This window comes from Homo sapiens, chromosome 11 (genome assembly GCF_000001405.40).
Source record: "Homo sapiens chromosome 11, GRCh38.p14 Primary Assembly".
Lineage (NCBI taxonomy): Eukaryota > Metazoa > Chordata > Mammalia > Primates > Hominidae > Homo > Homo sapiens.
Window position 1 is genome coordinate 87,384,696 of NC_000011.10, and position 22,348 is coordinate 87,407,043.

The window sequence follows — 22,348 nt, forward strand, 5'->3', positions numbered from 1 at the left end:
CCATGGACATAGATCATGGTGAATTAGGGCTCTCTCTGCTCCACATCCAGGCATTCAGAGCATCTTCTCACCTAGATCAGCAGCTTGACCCACCCTACCCTTCTTGGGCAGAGTTCCTGGTGCAGGGACGCCCACTCTGCTTCATGCTTAAGCAGATCTCTAGGTATTTGGAGCATTTTGTCTATTCAGCAGCCTGAGCTACCCCACCCTTCCTGGATATAGATCATGGTGCACCTGAGCTTTCTCTGATGTATGCCCAGGCAGATCTCCAGGTATTCAGAGCACCTGCTTGCCCACCCTGTTAGTCTGAGTCACCCCACCCCTCCTGTGCAGACATCTTGGTGTAGTGGGGGCTCTCTCTGCTCCACGCTCAAATAGATCTCCAAGCATCTGGAGCACCTACTTTCCCAGATTAGGAGTTTAGGCCCTCTCCCATCCCCATGCAGAGAACTTGAAGAGCTAAGTAAGCTTCCCAGCTCCATGCCTAGGCACTCCTCTGGGTACTTGGTGGCTGCCTGCTGGATTCTCCCTTGGCACTGATGCTCATGCCTGCCATCAGGGATCTGTAGGTGGACCCCCCAGTCCAGCCCTGCCCATCGTGGCCCCCACCCACCAGTGGCTGAACATGGAGCTCAGACCACTGTGCCTTCCATGAATCAGCCCATTGACTAAGGAAACAGCTTCTGCCAGTAAACAAGGATCATGTATATACCCAGCCATGTTGGCCACAGATTACTTACTTATAAGTACCTTCTACTGGCTTGTAGGTCAAACAGCACAGCCCAATATAAAACCCACTAAAAAAGAGTGCTTACGGCTATTGAAGCAAAGCCAAAAGACTGTATCCAGCATTCTCTACAGTCACATTCCCTAGGGAATGGGGGGAAAAGAAAAAGGAAGGGAAACATAATAGGGAAAGAAAGAAAAAGAAAAAAATCTACCTATATAAAAATAACTACAAAAATTAGAAGTGCAAGTCTCTCCAGATGATAAGGAACCAGCACAGGAATTCTGGCACCATGAAAAATCTGAATGTGGAGACAACACAAAAAGATCACACTAATTGGTCCAGCAAGGGTCCCTAACCAAAATGGAAATTCAGAAACTACAGATAAAGAATTCAAAGCACGGATTGCAAGGAAGGTCTATGAGATCCAAGGCAAAGTTGAATATCAACACAAAGAAACTGCTAAGCAATCCAGGAAATGAAGAAAGAGACATCTTAAAAATAAATCAACCAGAGCTTCTGGAACTGAAAAACTCAATGAATTTTGAAATACAATTGAAAGCTTTAGCAATAGACTGAATCAATCAGAGGAAAGAATTTCAGAGCTTGAAGACCAGTCTTTCAAACTAAACCAGTCAGACCAAAAAAAAAAAAAAAAAAAGGAATTAAAACAACCAACCAAATTCTTCAAGATACATGGTATTATGTAAAGCAACCAAAAGCTATGAATTACTGGCATTCCTGAGAAAGAAGGAGGAAAAGTAAACAACTTGGAAAACATATTGAGGGAATAATTCAAGAAAAATTTTCTAATCTTGCTAGAGAGGTAGACATCCAGGTACAAGAAATCTAGAGAACACCTGGGAGAAACTATACAAAACTAACTCCACCAGGGCATATAGTCACCAGACTGTCCAAGGTCAATGCTAAAGAAAAAATCTTGAAGGCAGCTAGAGAAATAGGTCAGATCATGTGCAAAGGGAACCCTATCAGGCTAACAGTGGACTTCTCAGCAGAAACTTTACAAGCCAGAAGAAATTAGGGGCCTATTTTTAGCATTCTTAAAAAAAATAAATTTCAACCAAAAATTTCTTATCTCGGGTTGTTCCAAGATGGCCGTATAGGAACAGCTCCGGTCTGCAGCTCCCAGCAGGATTGATGCAGAAGAAGGGTGATTTCTGCATTTCCAACTGAAGTACCTGATTAATCTCATTGGGACTGGTTGGACAGTGGGTACAGCCCACAGAGGGTGAGCCGAAGCAGGGCGGGGCATCGCCTCACCTGGGAAGTGCAAGAGGTCAGGCGATTTCCCTTTCCTAGCCAAGGGAAGCCATGACAGACTACCTGGAAAAACAGGACACTCCTGCTCAAATACTGTGCTCTTCCCAAGGTCTTAGCAACTGGCAAACAAGGTGATTCTCTCCTGTGCCTGGCTTGGTGGCTCCCATGCCCACGGAGCCTTGCTCACTGCTAGTGCAACAGTCTGAGATCCATCTGCTAGATGGCAGCCTGGCTGGGGGAGGGGCTTCTGCTATTGCTGAGGCTTGAGTAGGTAAACAAAGCAGCCGGGAAGCTTGAACTGGGTGGAGCCCACTGCAGCTCAACAAGGCCTACTGCCTCTGGACTCCACCTCTGTGGGCAGGGCATAGCTGAACAAAAGGCAGCAGACAACTTCTGCAGACTTAAACATCCCTGTCTGACAGCTCTGAAGAGAGAAGTGGTTCTCCCAGCATGGCGTTTGAGCTCTGAGAATGGACAGACTGCCTCCTCAAGTGGGTCCCTGATGCCCGTGAAATGGAACTGGGAGACACCTCCCAGTAGGGGTCGACAAACACCTCATATAGGCAGCTGCCCCTCTGGGACGAAGCTTCCAGAGGAAGGATCAGGCAGCAATATTTGCTGTTCTGCAATATTTGCTGTTCTGCAGCCTCCACTGGTGATACCCAGGCAAACAGGGTCTGGAGTAGAACTCCAGCAAATTCCAACAGACCTGCAGCTGAGGGACCTGACTGTTAGAAGGAAAACTAACAAACAGAAATGAATAGCATCAACATCACCAAAAGGTCATCTACACCAAAACCCCATCTGTAGGTCACCAACATTAAAGACCAAAGGTGGATAAAACCACAAAGATGGGGAGAAACAAGAGCAGAAGCGCTGAAAATTCTAAAAATCAGAGTGCCTCTTCTTCTCCAAAGGATTGCAGCTCCTCACCAGCAACGGAACAAAGCTGGATAGAGAATGACTTTGACGAGTTGACAGAAGTAGGCTTTAGAAGATTGGTCATAACAAACTTCTCTGAGCTAAAGGAGGATGTTCGAATTCATTGCAAGGAAGTTAAAACCGTGAAAAACGGTTAGACAAATGGCTCACTAGAATAAACAGTGTAGAGAAGACCTTAAATGACCTGATGGAGCTGAAAACCATGGCACAAAAACTTCATGACGCATGCACAAGCTTCAATAGCCAATTTGATCAAGTGGAAGAAAGCATATCAGTGATTGAAGATCAAATTGATGAAATAAAGTGAGAAAACAAGGTTACAGAAAAAAGACTAAAAAGAAATGAACAATGCCTCCAAGAAATATGGGACTATATGAAAAGACCAAATCTATGTTTGATTCGTGTACCTGAAAGTGATGGGGAGAATGGAACCAAGTTGGAAAACACTTTTCAGGACATTATCTGGGAGAACTTCCCCAACCTAGCAAGGCAGGACAACAGGCAAATTCAGGAAATACAGAGAACACCACAAAGATACTCCTAAGAAGAGCAACCCCAAGACACATAATCGTCAGATTCACCAAGGTTGAAATGAAGGAAAAAATGTTAAGAGCAGCCAGAGAGAAAGGTCGAGTTACCTGCAAAGGGAAGCCCATCAGACTAACAGTGGATCTCTCAGCAGAAACCCTACAAGCCAGAAAAGAGTGGGGGCCATTAATAAATGGTACTGGGAAAACTGGCTAGCCATATGCAGAAACTGAAACTGGATCCCTTCCTTACACCTTATACAAAAATTAATTCAGGATGGGTTAAAGACTTAAATGTTAGACCTAAAACCATAAAAACCATAGAAGAAAACCTACGCAATACCATTCAGGACATAGGCATGGGCAAGGACTTCATGTCTGAAACACCAAAAGCAATGGCAACAGAAGCCAAAATAGACAAATGGGGTCTAATTAAACTAAAGAGCTTCTGCACAGCAAAAGAAACTACCATCAGAGTGAACAGGCAACCTACAGAATGGGAGAAAATTTTTGCAATCTACCCATCTGACAAAGGGCTAATATCCAGAATCTACAGAGAACTCAAACAAATATACAAGAAAAAGCAACCCCATCAAAAAGTGGGCAAAAGATATGAACAGACAATTCTCAGAAGAAGACATCTATGCAGCCAAAAGACACATGAAAAAATGCTCATCATCACTGGTCATCAGAGAAATGCAAATCAAAACCACAGTGAGATACTATCTCATGCCAGTTAGAATGGCAGTCATTAAAAAGTCAGGAAACAACAGATGCTGGAGAGGATGTGGAGAAGTAGGAACGCTTTTACACTGTTGGTGGGAGTGTAAATTAGTTCAAACATTGTGGAAGAGAGTGTGGCAATTCCTCAAGGATCTAGAACAAGAATTACCATTTGACCCAGCAATCCCATTACTGGGTATATACCCAAAGGATTATAAATCATGCTAATATAAAGGCACATTCACATGTATGTTTATTGTGGCACTATTCACAATAGCAAAGATGTGGAACCAACCCAAATGTCCATCAATGATAGACTGGATTAAGAAAATGTGGCACAAATACACCATGGAATACTATGCAGCCATAAAAAAGATGAGATTGGCCAGGCGCCATGGCTCACGCCTGTAATCCCAGCACTTTGAGAGGCTGAGGTGGGTGGATCACAAGGTCAGGAGATCGAGACCATCCTGGTCTAACTCGGTGAAACCTCGTCTCTACTAAAAATACAAAGAATTAGTCGGGCGTGGTGGTGGGCACCTGTGGTCCCAGTTACTCCAGAGGCTGAGGCAGGAGAATGGCGTGAACCCAGCAGGTGGAGCTTGCAGTGAGCTGAGATCGTGCCACTGCACTCCAGCCTGGGTGACAGAGCAAGACTCCGTCTCCAAAAAAAAAAAAAAAAAAAAAAAAAAATATATATATATATATGAGTCCATGTCGTTTGCAGGGACATGGATGAAGCTGGAAACCATCATTTTCAGCAAACTATCACAAGGACAGAAAACCAAACACCGCATGTTCTCACTCATAGGTGGGAATTGAACAATGAGATCACTTGGACACAAGGTGGGGAAGATCACACACTGGGGCATGTCAGGGGGTGGGGGACTGGGGGAGGGATAGCATTAGGAGAAATACTTAATGTAAATGATGAGTTGATGAGTGCAGCAAACCAACATGGCACATGTATACTTATGTATCAAACCTGCACGTTGAGCATATGTACCCCAGAACTTAAAGTATAAAGAAAAATTTCCTATCTCCTCAAACGAAGCTATATAAGCAAAGGAGAAATAATATCTTTTCCAGACAAGCAACTGCATAGGGAATTTGCTACCACTAGACCACCCTTACAAGATATCCATAAGGGAGTTCCATGCAACAAACGTGGAAACAAAAGAATGATACCTGCTACCACAAAAACATACTCAAGTACATAGCCCACAGATCCTATAAAGCAGCTACACAATGGAAACTACAAAGCAACCAGATAACAACTTCATGATAGGATCAAAACCTCACATATCAATATTAAACTTGAGTGTCAATGGTCTAAACACCCCACTTAAAAGGTACAGAAGGGTGAGTTGGGTAAAAAAACAAGACCAATCTGTCTACTTTCTCCAAGAGACCCATCTTGCATGTAACAATATGCATATGCTCAAAGTAAAGTGTTGGAGAAACATCTACTATGCAAACAGAAAACAAAAAAGAGCAGGAATCACTATTCTTATATCAGATAAAACATACTTTAAACCAAGTACAGTAAGATTTCAAGGACAAAGAAGGCCATTATATAACGATAAAGGGTACAATTTAAGAAGAACACATAACTGTCCTAAATATATACACACCCAACATTGGATCCCAGATTTATAATACAAGTACTTCTAGACCTACAAAAAGGCTTAGACAGCTACACAATAATAGTGGAGAACTTTAATACCATACTGACAGCATTAGACAGATCACTGAGGCAGAAAACTAACAATGACATTCTGAACTTAAACTCAACACTTGATCAATTGGACCTAATAGACATCTACAGAATACTCCACCCATCAACCAAGAAATATACATTCTTCTCATCTCCACACAGAACATACTCCAAGATTGACCACACACTTTGCCATAAACCAAGTCTCAATGAATTTAAAAAATTTGAAATCATATCAACCATACTCTCCAATTACCATGGAATAAAAATATAAAGTAACACACAGAAGCTCTCTCACAACCATACAATTACAAGGAAATTAAACAACTTTCTTCTGAATGACTTTTGGGTAAGCAATAAAATTGAGGTAGAAATAAAAAAATTATTTGAAATAAATGAAAATAGGTGCACAACATACCAAATTCTCTGGTATGTAGCAAAAGAAATGTTAAAGGAAAGGTTATAATGTTAGATGCTTCCCACAAAAAGTTAGAAAGATCTCAAATTAACAATCTGATATCATATCTAGAGGAACAAGAAAAACAAGAACAAACTAACCCCAATGCTAGTACTAGAAAAGAAATAAGTAAAATCAGATAACAGAATGAAATTGCAGAACAGAATGTAATTGAGACTCCAAAATCCATACAAAAATAAAAAAAATCAAAACTTGGTTTTTTGAAAGGATAAGCAAGATTGATTAACAACTAGCTAGATGAACAAAGAAAGAAGATCCAAATGAGCACAATCAGAAAAAAAGGTGGCGTTACAACCAATCCCACAGAAATATAAAAGATTCTCAGATATGATTATGATCACCTCTATGTATGCAAACTATATATAGAGGAAATAGATAAGTTACTTAGGAACACATCATTTCCCAATATTGAATCAGGAAGAAATTGAAACCTTGAACAAAACAATATTGAGTTCCAAAACTGAATCAGTAATAAAAATCCTATCAACAACCAAAAAAAAGCTCCAGACCGGATGGATTTGCAGCCAAATTCTACCAGACATACAAAGAACTGGTGCCAATTCTACTGAAACTATTCCAAAACATTGAGGAGGAGAGACTGCTCCCTAACTCATTCTGAAAAACCAGCGTCATAGATGTCAAAACCTTGGAAAGACACAACAAAAAGAGAAAACTGCAGGCCAATATCCCTGATGAACATAGCCACACAAATCCTCAACAAAACATTAGCAAACCAAATCCAAAAGCACGTCAAAAAGTTAATTCACCATGATCAAGTAGGCTTCATTGCCTAAAGATGGCAACAGTAGAAACTGGGGACTACTAGATGGGGGAAGGAGGGAGAGGGAAAGTGTTGAAAAACTAACTATTGTGACTGTTCTCAGTACTTGGGTGATGGGATCATTTGTATTGCAAACCTCAACATCACACAATATTCCCAGGTAGCAAACCTGCATATATACCCCTTGAATTTAAAATAAGCATTGAAAACAAAGGGTAGGAAAAATGGTTTTTTATTTTAATTAGCAATATTCAGAATAGTGGATTAGTTCCTAGCATCTTCTAAAGTGAACAATGAGATGTGTGTGTGTGTGTGTGTGTGTGTGTGTGTGAGATTATTATCTCAATTTAAATATATAATTTAAATACATTAGATGTGTGTTTTTTTTTTTTTTTGAGATGGAGTCTCGCTCTGTTGCCCAGGCTGGAGTGCAGTGGCATGATCTCAGCTCACTGCAACCTCTGACTCCCAGGTTCAAGCGATTCTCCTGCCTCAGCATCCAGCTAATTTTTGTATTTTTAGTAGAGATGGGGTTTCACCATGTTGGCCAGGATGGTTTCAATCTCCTGAGCTTGTGATCTGCCTGCCATGGCCTCCCAAAGTGCTGGGATTACAGGTGTGAGCCACTGCACCCGGCCAGATGTGTTTTTATATATTGTAGTTATTATTCTAACTGGTATGTACATCATCTCACATTTAGCCAATGGGATTCTTTTTAAATCTTCCCGAGTCCTTCTGACATGACCTTTGTTAATGTCCTTGCTTTTTAGGATGTAAAAATATTTTAGTGTTAACTTGTACATTTCTGGCCTCAGATCTAGAATTAGCCATTTCCCCAAAGAGGCCTGGCTTCTTTTAGTGAGAAATGACATTTAGAGAACATTATCTAGTTATGAGAGAGCTCAGTGTGACTGGGTTGATTATTGTGTCTAGGTCTTTTCAATGAGAAGAGCTAGGAAAGACATTTTTTAAAAGAAAGTACATGATGATGTCATAATATTTCCAATCCAAATTTAGAGATTGCCTTTAATTTCATTTTGGTTTAATTTTATTTTATAATTGTATAAAACTTACATAGTTCAAAATCAAATTATGAAACAAGGGATATGTAGAGAAGTTTACCTTCTATTTCTCTGCCTCCATCCTGTTTTTTTCTCCCAATTTTGTTTACAGGCATACATTGTTTTATTGTACTTCACTTTATTGTGTTTTTCAGATACTGTGGTTTTTTTGCAAATTAAAGGTTTGAGTCAATCCTGTGGTAAGCAAGTCTATTGGCACCATTTTTCCAACAGCATATGCTCACTTGTGTCTCTGTGTCACATTTAGAAGTCTTATAATATTTCAGGTTTATTCATTATTATTGTATCTGTTATGGTGATCTGTGATCTTTGATGTCACTATTATGTTTTTTCAGGCTGCCATGAACCAGGCTCATATAAGATAACAAACTTGACCAATAAATGTATGTGCTCTGACTGCTCCATTGACCAGCCATTCCTTCATCTCTCTTTCTTTCTTCTGTCTTCCCTATTCCTTAAGACATAATTAGGCTAATTAATAACCCTATTGTGGCCTCTTAAGTGTTCAAGTGAAAAGAAGAATCACATGTCTCTCCATTTACATCAAAAGCCAAATATGATTAAGTTTGGTAAGGAAGGCATGTCAAAAGCTGAGATAGATTAGCTATAGCTAGGCCTATTGTGCCCAACAGCCAAGTTGTAAATGCAAGGGAAAAATTCTAAAAAAAATTAAAAGTTATAGTCTAGTGAACACACAAAATGATGAGAAAGTGAAATAGCTTTATTGCTGATATGGAGAACATTTTGGTGGTTTAGAGAGAGGATCAAACCAGCCACATCATTTCCTTAATTGTAAAACCTAACCCAGAGCAAATTCCTCACTCTCTTCAATTATATGAAGGCTAAGAGAGGTGAGGAAACTGCAGAAGAAATGTTTAAAGCTAGAAGAGGTTGGTTCATGAGATTTAAGGAAATAAGATCTACCCATAATATTAAAGTGCAGGGTGAAGCAGCAAGTGCTGATGGAGAAGCTGAAGTAGGTTATTTAGAATATCTAGATAAGATCATTGATAAAGGTAGCTATACTAAACAGATTTTTAATGCAGATGAAACAGCCTTCTATTGGAAAAACATGCCATCTAGGACTTTCATAGCTAGTGAAGAGAAGTCAATGTTTGGCTTCAAAATTTCAAAGGGCAGGCTGACTCTTTTGCTAGGAGCTAATGCAGCTGGCGACTTTAAATTGAAGCCAACGTTTGTTTACCATTCTGAAAATCCTAGGGCTCTTAAGAATTACATTACTCTGCCTGTGCTCTGTAAGTGGAGCATCAAAGCCTAGATGACAGCACATCAGCTTATAGAGTAGTTTACTGACTATTTTAAGCCCACTGTTGAAACCTACTTCTCAGAAAAAGAGATTTATTTCCAAATATTACCACGCATTGACATAATGCACCTGGTAACCCAAGAGTTCTGACGGATATGTACAGGGAGTTTAATGTTGTTTTCATGCCTTCTCATACAATGTTCATTCTGTAGCCCATGAATCAGGGAGTAATTTTGACTTTTGAGTCAAAATTAAGAAATACATTTTGTAAGGCTATAGCTGCCATAGATAGTGATTCCCCTGATGGACCTGAGCAAAGTAAATTGAATACCTTCTGAAAAGGATTGACCATTCTAACTGCCATTAAGGATATTCATGACTCATAGGGAGAGCAGTAGTTTGAAAGAATATCAACATCAGCAAGAGTTTAGAAGAAAGTTGACTCCAACCCTCACTGAAGATTTTGAGGGTTTCAAGATTTCAGTGAAGGAAATATCTGCAAATGTGGTGGAATAGCAAGAGAACTAGAATTAGAACTGAAGTCTGAAGGTGTTACTGAGTTGCTGCAACGTCATGATAAAACTGGAACAGATGAGGAGTTGCTTCTTATGGATGAGCAAAGGAAGAGGTTCCTTTAGATGGAATCAACTCCTGGTGATGATGCTGTGAACACTGTTGAAATGACAAAAAAGAATTTAGAATATTACATAAACTTACTTGAGAAAGCAGCAGCAGGATATGAGAGAATTGACTCCAATTCTGAAAGAAGTTGTATTGTGGGTAAAGTGCTATCAAATAGCATAGCATGTTCCAGAGAAATCTTTTATGAAAGGAAAGGTAAATCAATGTGGCAAACTTCATTTGTTTTTCAAGAGATTGTTACAATCACCCCAGCCTTCAGCAACTACCATTCTGATTAGTCAGCAGCCATTAACATTGAGGCAAGACGCTCCAAAAACAAAAGATTACAACTTGCTCATGGCTCAGGTGATCATTAACATTTTTTTAGCTATAAAGTATTTTTTAAATTAAGCCATGTACTTTTTTGATGTAATGTTATTGCACACTTAATAAACTATAGTATAGTATAAACATAACTTTTATATGCACTGGGAAACCAAAAAATTTGTGTGACTCCCTTTCTTGCAATATTTGCTTTCTTGTGGTGGTCTGGAACTGAACCCACCATATCTCTGATGTATACCTATATTTTGTGGCTTATTCTTCAATTTAACGTTTAAAAAATTTTAAACTAATAAAAAAAATTTCAGGAACCACTCCATTTTTAAATGTAAGAAATATATACAATCAATCCTCATTAGTCACAGATTCCAGATTTGCAAATTTGTCTACATGCTAACATTTATTTGTAACCTTAAAATCAATACTTGCAGCACTTCCATGGTCATTCATGAATACATGTAAAGCACTGTAAAATCTGAATCATTCAATGTGTATATTCCTAGCTGAGTCAAATAAGGCTCTATCTTCTCACTGCAGCTCTCGTATGTAAGCTAGTGTCCTTTTTGCAGTAGATTTATTCTTTTTTTTGCACTTTTTGCTTTTTCTTGATGATTTCACAATTAACAATGGCCCCAAAGCATAGTGCTGAAGTGCTGTTTGGTGTTACTAAGCATAATAAGGTTGTTGATGTGCCTTATGAGGAAAATCCGTGTACTAGATAACCTTCATTTAGGCATGAGTTGCAGTGCTGATGGCTGTGAGATCAACATTAATGAATCAAGAACATATATTTAAATAAGATTCCTTTAAACAGAGTCAGACGTAAAACAGGGTTATATATTGATCTATTGATAAAAATATTGTGACCAGGGCTTATAGGAACCTAATCCTGTATTTCCATTAGGAGCAATGGTTCAGTTATTTGCTAATTTAGTGCTCAGTGTGACTTTAGAGAACACAACTACCACAAATAATGAGAATAATGAGAATGCACTGTGTGTGTGTGTGTGTACTTAGTACTCTTCTTTCTTAGATAAACAATAGCATACTATGTGTACTCTTCTCTGCTTTGATTTTTTTTTTGCTCAACATTAAATCCGGGAGATCATGGTAGTACACAGAAAAAAATCTTTATTCTTCAAGACAACTATACACCATTGTTTGGATGTACTTCAGTTATTCAACCTATTCCCTATTGATAGATATTTAAGTTATTTTTCAGTTATAATTTTTACTACTTTGCCTTGTGTATACATCTTAGATATTACCAAATTCCCAAATTCCCCTTCCCAGGGTTGTACTGTTTTGTTTTCCCACCAGCAGAGAAGTACCCATTTTCCCATGGCCTTGATTAAAAGGTGTCTTATCAAACTTTTGAATATTCACCAATCTGATTAGGAAAGAAATCAAATCTCAGTTTAGTTTTAATTTTCATTTCTCTTATCTTATTATGAGTGAGGGTGAATGTCTTTTTATATACTGAAGGATCATTTGTTTTTGTTGTTGTTCATGTCACTAGCACTGGAGGTTTATTTCAAGGATGGCTGGGAAAATTAGAAAGGCTGCACAGTAAGGTCTTTGGAAATCTGGAACATTGTTTGTCACCACATATAATTCAGCAGCAGCAGCAGCTACATGAGTCTGTTAGTAGCTCTGGGCCCCAGTAACAATTTGAGACGTCTTCTGAGTTCCTATCTGTGATAGTTAACTTTATATATTGACTTTTGAGTTAAGGGATAAGCAGAGAAGCTGGCACAACATTATTTCTGGTGAATCTTTGAGGGTGTTTCCAGATGATATTAGCATTTGGATCAGTAGACTGAGTAAAAACGATCCACCTTTACTTATTTGAGTGGGCACCTGAATAGAACAAAATGGTAGAGAAAGAGAAAATTCACTCTCTCTTCTTGAGCTGAGAAATCTGTCTTCTAATGCCCTTAGATGTAGGTGCTCTGGGTTCTTGGACCTTATGACCTTGGATTTACAACAGCAGCCTTCCTGATTTTCAGGCCTTACGACAAGGGCTGAATCACACTGCTGGCTTTCCTCATTCTATAGCTTGCAAATGGTATATTTTGGGACTTCTTGGCTTCCATAATCATGCGAGCCAATTCCTGTAATAAATATTTTCTTATATATCTATGTATATCCTTCACTATTGCAATGCGGCAACTTCAGTTCTATTTTTCTCTCCACCAGCTTCTTCCTATTTCATTCCTGACAATTCTTTTTTCTTTCCTCAGCCTATTTGCTTTTAGCTGACTCATGGCTTTTACTTACCCATGGTACCTCATGGCTTCTGCCTCTTGTTTCCTCTTTTCCTCTCTGCTTCTGCCAGTCCTACTCTCTGCTCACTTTTTTTTTTTTTGCACATCTGACATTAAAATTCCCCAAGAGTGGACTTAGTGGATTGAATTAGCCAGTAACCACTGAGTATAAACTGTCTTTCTGGGGCAATGCATTTGGCAGGTTGCCGGCCAATCTAACTATATTTTTGGGTCAGATACTTATCCTTAGTTCAAGAGGTCATGATTAGAGCCTGAGGTTATATGACACAAAGTGTGGAAACCACAGGGTAAGGAAGTTCTCAGAAGAAAGATGTGTGCAAGACTTCTCCTGGTTTTACTTCTCATGGATAGCCCAATATAAACACTAAGAGGAAAGGTATGAAATTAACATGTACATTTTACATATGAGGCAGTGGAGGCTGAGAGACATTAAGTAACTTTTTCAAAGTCATATGGCTTACTGGTACCAAAGCCATGTGCTTCAGAGCCAAGATTCAATCCTCAGAGTTGAATGCAGGCGTTTAAATTCTGTTGTATTGACTCTTACTTGGACTCTGTGAATGTTTTTACCTGACTGTTTTGGGCTTGAATGTACTTAATGTCCATATTAAAAAAAAAAAATCTCTACATCAAGATTATGCTTTAGTGAATGAATGTCTATGGGAAAAGCATTTTTCTTTTGGAGCATTCTATACTAATTCAGCTTAATTCCTTGATCATTTCCTATCCAGGGTAGTTATAGTTTTATTTTATGGATATTGGTCTAGATTAATTATTTCTGTGTACATTTTATAATAAACGTTAATGTAGTCATCAGTTTTTGTTATAATCATTTGTTTTATTATTGTCAAATGTCATTATGTTTTCATTTTTTTGGCCTTTATAGTTTTTAATTCAATTTTTTCAGATAAAATATTTTAGATGCAAATTTTGCAAGAAGTTTTTTTTGCTAATTTTTTTGAGTGTGGTTTTAGCTGTTGACAGTTTTATTTGGTGCTGTTGTTGATTATTTCTTCTAAATATGCTTTTTCTAAGATCATTTTTTTCTTTTTGCATTTTACTATATGCCCAGCAATGCATAATTCTTCAGTTAGTTTTTACCTATAACAAATTTTAACCTGTGGAGATTCATTATTTTCAGTTTCACTATAATATGGTAATTTTTTCTGTCAGTAATGCTTATTATAAATTAGAAAGAATATTGATAATTTGTATTACTTTCTTGGAACAAAGCAAAGAGCTCATGAAGGACAAAGACAAAAGATTTAGGTGAGTGGTGGGTTAAAGTCTTGCATATATCCAGGAGTCTAGATTCCATAGGGGGTGCTCTTTCTTCTCAACCAAAATGCCATGATACTTGGCATTTTTCCTTTCTCCTAGGAGTTGTTTGGGGTTATCAGGCTAAAGATCAGGTCCTTTGCCATACAAGGCTGCTAATGAAGAAGAGAGAAGGTCAACCTGAATTTGTGGGTAAGGACTGAAAAAAAAAAGTCTACTCAATGTAAACATAAGAGGTCCCCAGGCCCTACTTAACTCTGCTGAAGGGACAAGTTGTTCCTTTCCTGAACTTGGTTCCCCAATTCCCCACACTGTCTTGGGACTGGGGTTGGAGCTGGAAAGGAATGACCTTGCATCATCTTGTAGATCCATCCAAGTTCCTCCAGGCTTGGAAAGGCTCCCAGGCCATTCTTCAGTATCTCTACATAGCAAAGCCTCCCTGCAGGCCTATCTTGTCTGAATTCCAAGGGCCGTATGTCAATTAAAGCACTTGGAAGTCACAATCAGTTGTCTTTCTAATGCCTCTAATTTCAACCTCCAAACGACTGCATTATGTACAACCTAGTCTAGGAGTGGTTACTAAGTCATTATATCCACTGAGATTTGTATCATTATCATTTGTATCATTAGCATATACTATCATGTAGTAATATGGCCAAGAACAGGACAAAACAAATAAAAATGACCATAGAGTTGTTGTCAAAGTTCATTATAAACTGAGTGTTAAATCCCATCTGATCCCAGCTTTAGGATTCTCTGGAGATAAAGTGCTCCATGGCCTTGTCCTGAAATGACTCTCCCTGTGTCTGTTTAATTGGTCATAGTCAGTAAAAGACCAGTGTATTACAGTCTTGGTGATGTCCCACATGATCAGCCTGAAGGACTCACAGGTGGGCAGTATTTATTATATAACAAACTATCTTTTTTTGTATCATTATCCACAGAAACATGGTAGCTAATATGTTGATTTAAAAATCAGCAGAAATTTGTTGGCTGCTAACTTTCTGAAGGCAAATTTGTCAACAGCCTTCTTTCTGAGAGTTTTGACCTCCCTTTCCAACCTGCATCTGATTGCAGCTCAAGATCTTCTGCTCTGTATTTGGGCTTAATCCTAATACTGTTTCTCAGACACTGATGTAAATTGCCTTACCCTTAGCTACAACTCAGATGATCCCACTGGGTTTTGGGGATTGAGATGGCTTCTTGTAAAAGTCTGTCTTACTTCTGTCTAGCTCCTCGTATACCTTGAGGGCCATGGCCACTATTGGGTTTGCCTCGGCCTTTGAATGGGAACCAGAGAGAATGGAAGAAATGTTCCCTCCTTATCTACCTGTGTGTCTTCCTCCAGTAGTTCTCTGGTTTAGCTTTCAGGTGTAACTAGGTGAGTATCTTTCTGAATCCCTCAGTCTCAGAGAAAATAGGATCAAGGGATCATTAGGTCTAGTTGAACCCTACAGTCTTGGAATAGACTGCTTTCTATTCTTATGCTCAATACCATTGAGGAATCTGTTCGAAGTCACCCAGCAGTAGAATTTTCCATTTTTAAGGAAAGATGATAATAAATGTTATAAATCTGAATTGAAGACTGGTATTATATATGCCATTGCTGAGAAAATGTGCTAGATCAACTGAAGCAAGAATTAAGTCTTATTTATCTCTCTGACTACCACAGAACCTAGAAGGTGCTCAGTAAGTATAATTTAAATTTAACTGGATATGAATTATGATTGTAAATTAATATTTGTATGACCTCATCAATAATATATGGTTTTCCAATTCTTTTCTATCTAATATGTATCTGACAGCTCTTAATTTTTCCAGTGTCCTTTGCGGCCAGAGTATTGCAGATTGGAAAGTATGTGGACTTTGGGATCAGAAAGACGTATGTTGGAATCTCTCTACCACATACTAGCTGTGTGCTTACATGTCTATCTGCCACAGTAAAATAAAGGTAGTAAAATACATCCTGTAGGACAGTTATGAAGAGATTGAGTATAATACTGTGGGGCGTTTCTCTTCTCTGGGATAAACACTGCTATTTTATTATTTCACTGCTATTTTCTCATTTGTTCCTCACCCTGTTCGCTTCAAGGAAGTGAGAAATAAATATATCCCCCCTAAGATGAAACATGAGCGGGTAAAAGTGATTACCATCACTTAGCTTTTGAGGTCGGGAGACAAGACTAGGACCCAAACTGATTGACTTCTTTTTTTGTTTTTGAGATGGGGTCTCGCTCTGTCACCAGGCTGGAGTGAAGTGCAGTGGTGCAATCTCGGCTCACTGCAACCTCCGCCTCCTGGGTTCAAGTGATTCTCCTGCCTCAGCCTCCCGAGTAGCTGGGATTACAGGTGTGTGCCACCACGCCAGCTAATTTTTGTATTTTTATTAGAGACAGGGTTTCACAATGTGGCCAGGATGGTCTTGATCTCTAGACCTTGTGATCCACCTGCCTTGGCCTCCCAAAGTGCTAGGATAACAGGTGTGAGCCACCACACCCGGACCTAACTGACTTCTAATTGCATTCTTTATAGTAAACGCAATTCAAGCCTGAGGATAGGAGCCTGGGTTTCCAGGCAAACTACTCGGCAGCTGCGTGGTTGTGCAAACAGCTCTTCGTGTTTTTGAGTCTTGTTTTCCTAATCCTTAAAACTGGAATAGCAATAAGATAGACCTTATGAGATGGTTTTAAGAACCAACTTTAGCTCTTTAAAGCAGTGTTTCTTATTCAGGAAATACATAGGAATCATGAGATAAACTTTCTGAACATACATGGGCCCTACTCCTGGAGGTTTGGAGGTGCAAATAGGCATATACATTTTCATAAAGCTTCCTCAGGTGACTCTCATGTACCCAACCCACTCCAAACTGCTGCCTGCTTCTAACTATAAAATTCCATGCACATGTGAGTGATTATTGGTATTCCTGAAAAGTTTACATTATACTGAGACTTTAAAATGCTTGTAAAGCTGCTATGTTGTTGAGGAAAGAACAATGATCTCTTGGGTTAAAAGATATGTAACAAATCCAAGCTGTAAATTTACAGCTGTGAGGCCCTGAGCAGATTATATAACTTCTTTGAAAATCATTCTCCTCAGTAGTAAAACAGAGTGGAATAGTACTCATAATTAAATAGGGAAGCTGATGTAATGACACTTTTTAAGCCAGAAGGACTTTGTTAGCTTGAGAAATGGAAGCAAGGAGAGCTCAAGACATTTTTCCAAGATCATAAAGCTAGTAAGCGGTAGAGCTGGAGTTTGAACCCAGGTCTAGCTGACTCCAGAGCTTGGGCTCTGATATTCTGTACCACCCTTTACTCATGCATTAACTACTTATTGAGTGCCTACTATGTACTAGATACTCTTCTATAAGTTTTGAATATACTAGGAAATAAAACAAACATACAAAAATTCCTATCTTTGTGGAGCTTTTACATTAGAAGGTGGTAAGTGCTATGGAAAGAAATCACGCCCATTATCCCAGCACTTTGGGAGGCCGAGGTGGGTGAATCACCTGAAATCAGGAGTTCGAGACCAGCCTGGCCAACATAGTGAAACCCTTCTCTACTAAAAGTACAAAAATTAGCCGGGCATGGTGGCACATGCCTATAATCCCAGCTCCTCGGGAGGCTGAGGCAGGAGAATCGCTTGAACCTGGGAGGTGGAGGTTGCAGTGAGCCATGATCGCACCACTGCACTCCAGCCTGGGCAACAGAGCGAGACTCTGTCTGAAAAAAAAAAAAAGAAAAAAAGAAATTAACAAAGAAGAAAAAAGAAAAACCATAGATGGGGATCAGGAATCAGGGAGGTGAAGGTAGGGGCCAGGATGCAGTTTTAATTAAGGTGGTCTGTCTGGGTCTCATTGAGAAAGTGACTGTTAAGCAAAGACTTGAAGAAGGTGAAGGAAATAACCAGGCAGTTATCTGGAAGAAAACTTGCAAGCAGAAGGACAAGCTCGTATGATGATGGTCCTGAGTTGTGGGCAGGTTTATGGAATAGCAAAGAGGCCAGTGCGGCGAGGGTGATGTGAGCGTAGAGCAGAGAAGTAGCAGATGATGTCACGGAGGTCACAGATGCAGAGTGCAGGGCACTGCAGGGCACTCTAGGATCTTTAGTTTTTATCCTGGAGTGAAATAGGAGCCACTGGAAGATTCTGAACAGGAGATTGATTTGATGACACTTATGCTAAGTGAAATAAGCCAGTCACAGAAGGACAAAAACTTCACAAGATATTTCACTTATATAAGGAATCTAAAATAGTCTAACTCATAGAAGTAGAGAGCAGAATGGTAGTTACCAGGGCCTGGGAGAGGAAGAAATGGGGAATTTCTAATTAACAGGCATAAGTTTTAAGTTAAAGAGATGAATAAGTTCTAGAGGCCTGCTATACATTGTGTATATAATTAATAATACAGTGTTGTGCACCTAAAAATCTGTTAAGAGGGTACATTGGTAGGTCTCATGTTAAGCTTTTTTACCACAATAAAAAATATTCTGGCTGCTGTATTGAGGAAACACTGTAGTGAGACAAGATAGACTGGGTGAGGAGGTCTGTGAGGAGGTATTGCAGCAATCCAGGAAGAGTGATGGAGGTTCAATAGTGGGATTGCAGTGGTGTGAGAAGTACGTACTGACAGGAGATGACCTGAGCCTGTTGCTGATGTCTGCATTCCTTATGGGTTGTGGGGTCTATTTAGCTACAATCTGAAGTGGTCACCCTATGGAAGCCAGAGGAAAGACAACTAGCTTGGTGGTAGAGGTGAGGTTCTCCCTGAAGGAAGTAACATTTCTCTTATTCACCTGGGACAGAGGCTAGTCGTTAGCAGCAGATCAGACCTTGGAAAGCAGGCCACAGCCAGGCAAGGGAAGCTCATGGGGCTTGTTCTCTGAGTTCTGATTATGAATTGTGTAGATGTGCTCCAGGAGGCCATACCTGAATGGCTAAATGCCTGTTATACAGTTTGGCAAGTAGGGGCCCAAGCTGAAGATGGCTCAGCAAACACTGTAGTAAGAATATCCAGTTATATTTTACTCTATTTTCTCTCTTAATCCATGATCTTTAGTGCAGTATTATTTAAATGTTGCAGCCTAGCCTCAGTGGGCCTCTGGAGGGTATTAGGGGAGGGTTTTGTTCCCACTTCTGTCCTGGAGTATAGAGCAGGGTACTTTGAAGCCTGAGTTCATGATAGTAGGAATTAAGAAAAGATCCCCTTGGGAATTAGCAGTTGGGATGGGGCCAGGCCCCTTTCCTCCTTTGCTTACGTTGGAAGAGGGTTTTGGATATATTGGATAATAGGTTTCCTTACATAAGCATGCATGAAGTATTTTATTAATGTTCAGTCATCTTGTGTGGGCCTCACTTTTTACACAGCCTTGTGTGAGGCATGATGTCCCTGTTGAACATCAGCTGGACATCACCCAAGGGTCAGGTGGAGACAGTTGGAGACCACAGCAATAGGGCTTTGCATTGTGGAGGGGACAAGACCGTATAATCTTTGAATCTTGGGGTTTACCATTAGATACGCTGATATGTAAGACTGAAAGAGACCTGAGCCCCTGTGCCTGGCTTCTGAGAAAGTATTGGGAATGCAGCAGAACATGACAGCTAAGTGCCCAGACTTTGCAGCTGGACTGGGTTTGAGTTCTGGATATACTCTTTTCTGGTTGGACAACTTTTTAAACCTCTCTAATGCTTATTTATTTTATTCATAAAATATAGATGGCTATGATAGTGTCTTATTCCATTTGTGCTGTTATAAAGATAGAAAACCTGAGGCTGGGTAATTTATAAAGAAAAGAGGTTTATTTGGCTCTCGGTTCTGCAGGCTGTACAGGAAGCATGGCACCAACACCTGCTTCAGATGAGGGCCTCAGGCTGCTTCTACTTATGGTGGAATGTGAAGGGGAGCTGGAGTGTACAAATCACATAGTGAGAGAGGAAGCAAAGAAAGAGGGAAGTGCCAAGTATGGGAACTCTCACAGGAACTAACAGAGTGAGAACTCACTCGTTACCTCTAGGACAGCACCAAGCCATTAATGAGAGATCTGCCCCCATGACCGAAACACCTCCCATTAGACCCCACTTCCAACATTGGAGATCACATTTCAATATGAGATTTGGAGGGGTCAAACATCCAAACTATAACAGATAACATGTATCATGTAGGGTTGTTCTGAAGATGAAAATAAATAATATGTTTAGCTTACCACAATACCTGGCACAAAGTAAGTGCTCATTGTAGCCATTATTATGAGTAATTATGGAAGCTTGTCAAGATAGTGCCTCATTAAGGGTGTGTGATTAGAGGGTGAGATTGGAGAGCATCACAGGCAGGAATTTAGCCACTGTTCTACTCTCTGGGACACTTTCTAGACTTCCTTGGATTTTCACTTGGGCAAAAATGGAAATAATGGGAACATATTCCTGGCGATATTAGCAAGCAAATGGGAATATAATGAGACCTCATCAACATAAAAATGACAGCAAACTGTTGTGGCATCTGGGCATTTGGTGTGCATGTGTGAGTATGTGTTTAGTGTGGGTCATTGGTGTTGTATTGGTGTTGCAAAGCAGGAGGAAGTTCATACAAAACTTGGTTTAGATGTTAAGCCTGAGGACCTGCCATGTACTGAGAGAATTTGAGAGACAGTTTATTATTCACACAGAGGAGAGCTGATCAGGCACAAGCAGGTCCAGGTTGGTTTGGGCAAAGCAGATGGAGTGGGTTTGGGCCTTTACAGTGGCTGAGCAGTGGGGCTGGGAAAAGTTCCTGCATGTGCACAATTTAAATTTTCCAATGGTACCAAAGGAGGAGATGAGGTCATGGGCCTTCTTATCAGCCTGCCCAGATGCGGGGCCAAAAAGGAAGAGATGGAAAGGCCTGAAAGGAATTATTAATCCAACATCAAAAATGAAGTCTGACTCTCCGTTACAATCAATTATAAAGGGAATTAGAAATAAATAGCACAGAAAACCACTTTAAAATAGTGAATCTCTACCATAGCAAATTGTTACTAATATATGAATGAATCAACAAAGGCACAAATGTACCATAACCCCAGTGACTGGTAAAGGGGGTAGCCAGCACTTTCATACCATTGGCCTGAGGGATTTAATGTCCCATAAAGAAGACTGAAGATGTGAATGGCTCTCCACTAGGGCTTTTGAACTCGAGGTGAGAAATGGCGTTGGCCTGAACCAAGTAGTTTTGGATATGGAGGAAGGTAGGGTTCATTCATACATCACCCTAACTGAGTGCTTATGTGTGCCAGCCCTGTCCTAGGGGACCTGTGACACACACTGAATAAGAGAGAAACAGGCCCGTTTTTGCAGGATACTCAGGCAAACAACTATAATGGTGTTATATATTACATCATATGACTAAGTGTTTTTCTTGGAGAAGTACAGGAGTGTGAAAGCCCATAGCCAGGATGATGGCAAAGGAAATAAGGAGGGAGAGAAGTGGTAGTAGAAAGAACTCAACAAGGAGATAGAAGTGATAGAATTTGGTAGAGGATTAAATGTGGGAGGGGAAGACTGACAAGGGCATCTGTGTGGAGGGAGGTACCATTCTTTGAAGTAGGTAATACCCAAGGAGAAGAAGACTAATGGGGAAGGTGTGGATTTAATTTTGGATACGCTGTGTTTGAGATGCCTGTAGAACAGTCAATTTGAAATGCCCCCAAATCTGCTGCAGAGAGAGACCTGGACTAGCAATACGGTCCTGGGGGCAAGAGAAAAGGCTGTTGCAATTTGAGTCCCTGGCTGGGCATCGGGTTATCCAGGGAGGGAGTGCGGGGCATGACAATGGCCCTGAACAGCACACTGAGACTAGGGACTGGCACAGAAAGGAGCCTCTGTTGAGCAAAGGCTCTCAGCCCAGATTTTAAGCACTAGCATAGGTGGTTTGCTGAAATGGCCTCAGCAGCACAGGAGGAGGCCAGAGTTAGGAAGGAGCAATCTAAGAGCTCACACTTGTGGGTTGTCCCTGTGGAATCTCCGAAGTATTGGGACATTAGTGGCTGCCAGGCTTTGAAGGAGGCCTGGGCTCCCAGCTTTTATCTTTAGTGGGAGCAAGATCAAAGAACTACTGGGTAATGTGACCCATGAACTCCCTGTGTTGTAGTTCAAGGACACTAGGGTTATCTTTGTGATTTCGTGCCTTCTACCCTGCACATATGGCTTCGGTCTCAGCTGAGTTCAAGAGGAACCATTTTGTGTTTGTGGAGAAGTCAGTGACAGACATGGATTAAAGGCATTTGTTTGCATCTGCTTACCTTGGTTGGCAGCAGATCAC

General features: G+C 40.1%; 1 long non-coding RNA gene across 3 annotated transcripts in view, besides 1 other annotated feature; it reads left to right on the forward strand.

Annotated features, from left to right (window-relative positions):
* LOC107984361 (uncharacterized) overlaps positions 1–22,348 on the forward strand; it is a 552,293-nt gene that overhangs the window by 24,943 nt on the left and 505,002 nt on the right. The window lies entirely within an intron of this gene.
* Positions 12,619–12,819: a silencer, noted in NCBI's record as "peak1383 fragment used in MPRA reporter construct". NCBI's record gives its function as "represses an SCP1 promoter by STARR-seq MPRAs in K562 erythroleukemia cells {active_cell/tissue: K562}" and the evidence as "EXISTENCE:reporter gene assay evidence [ECO:0000049][PMID:32103011]".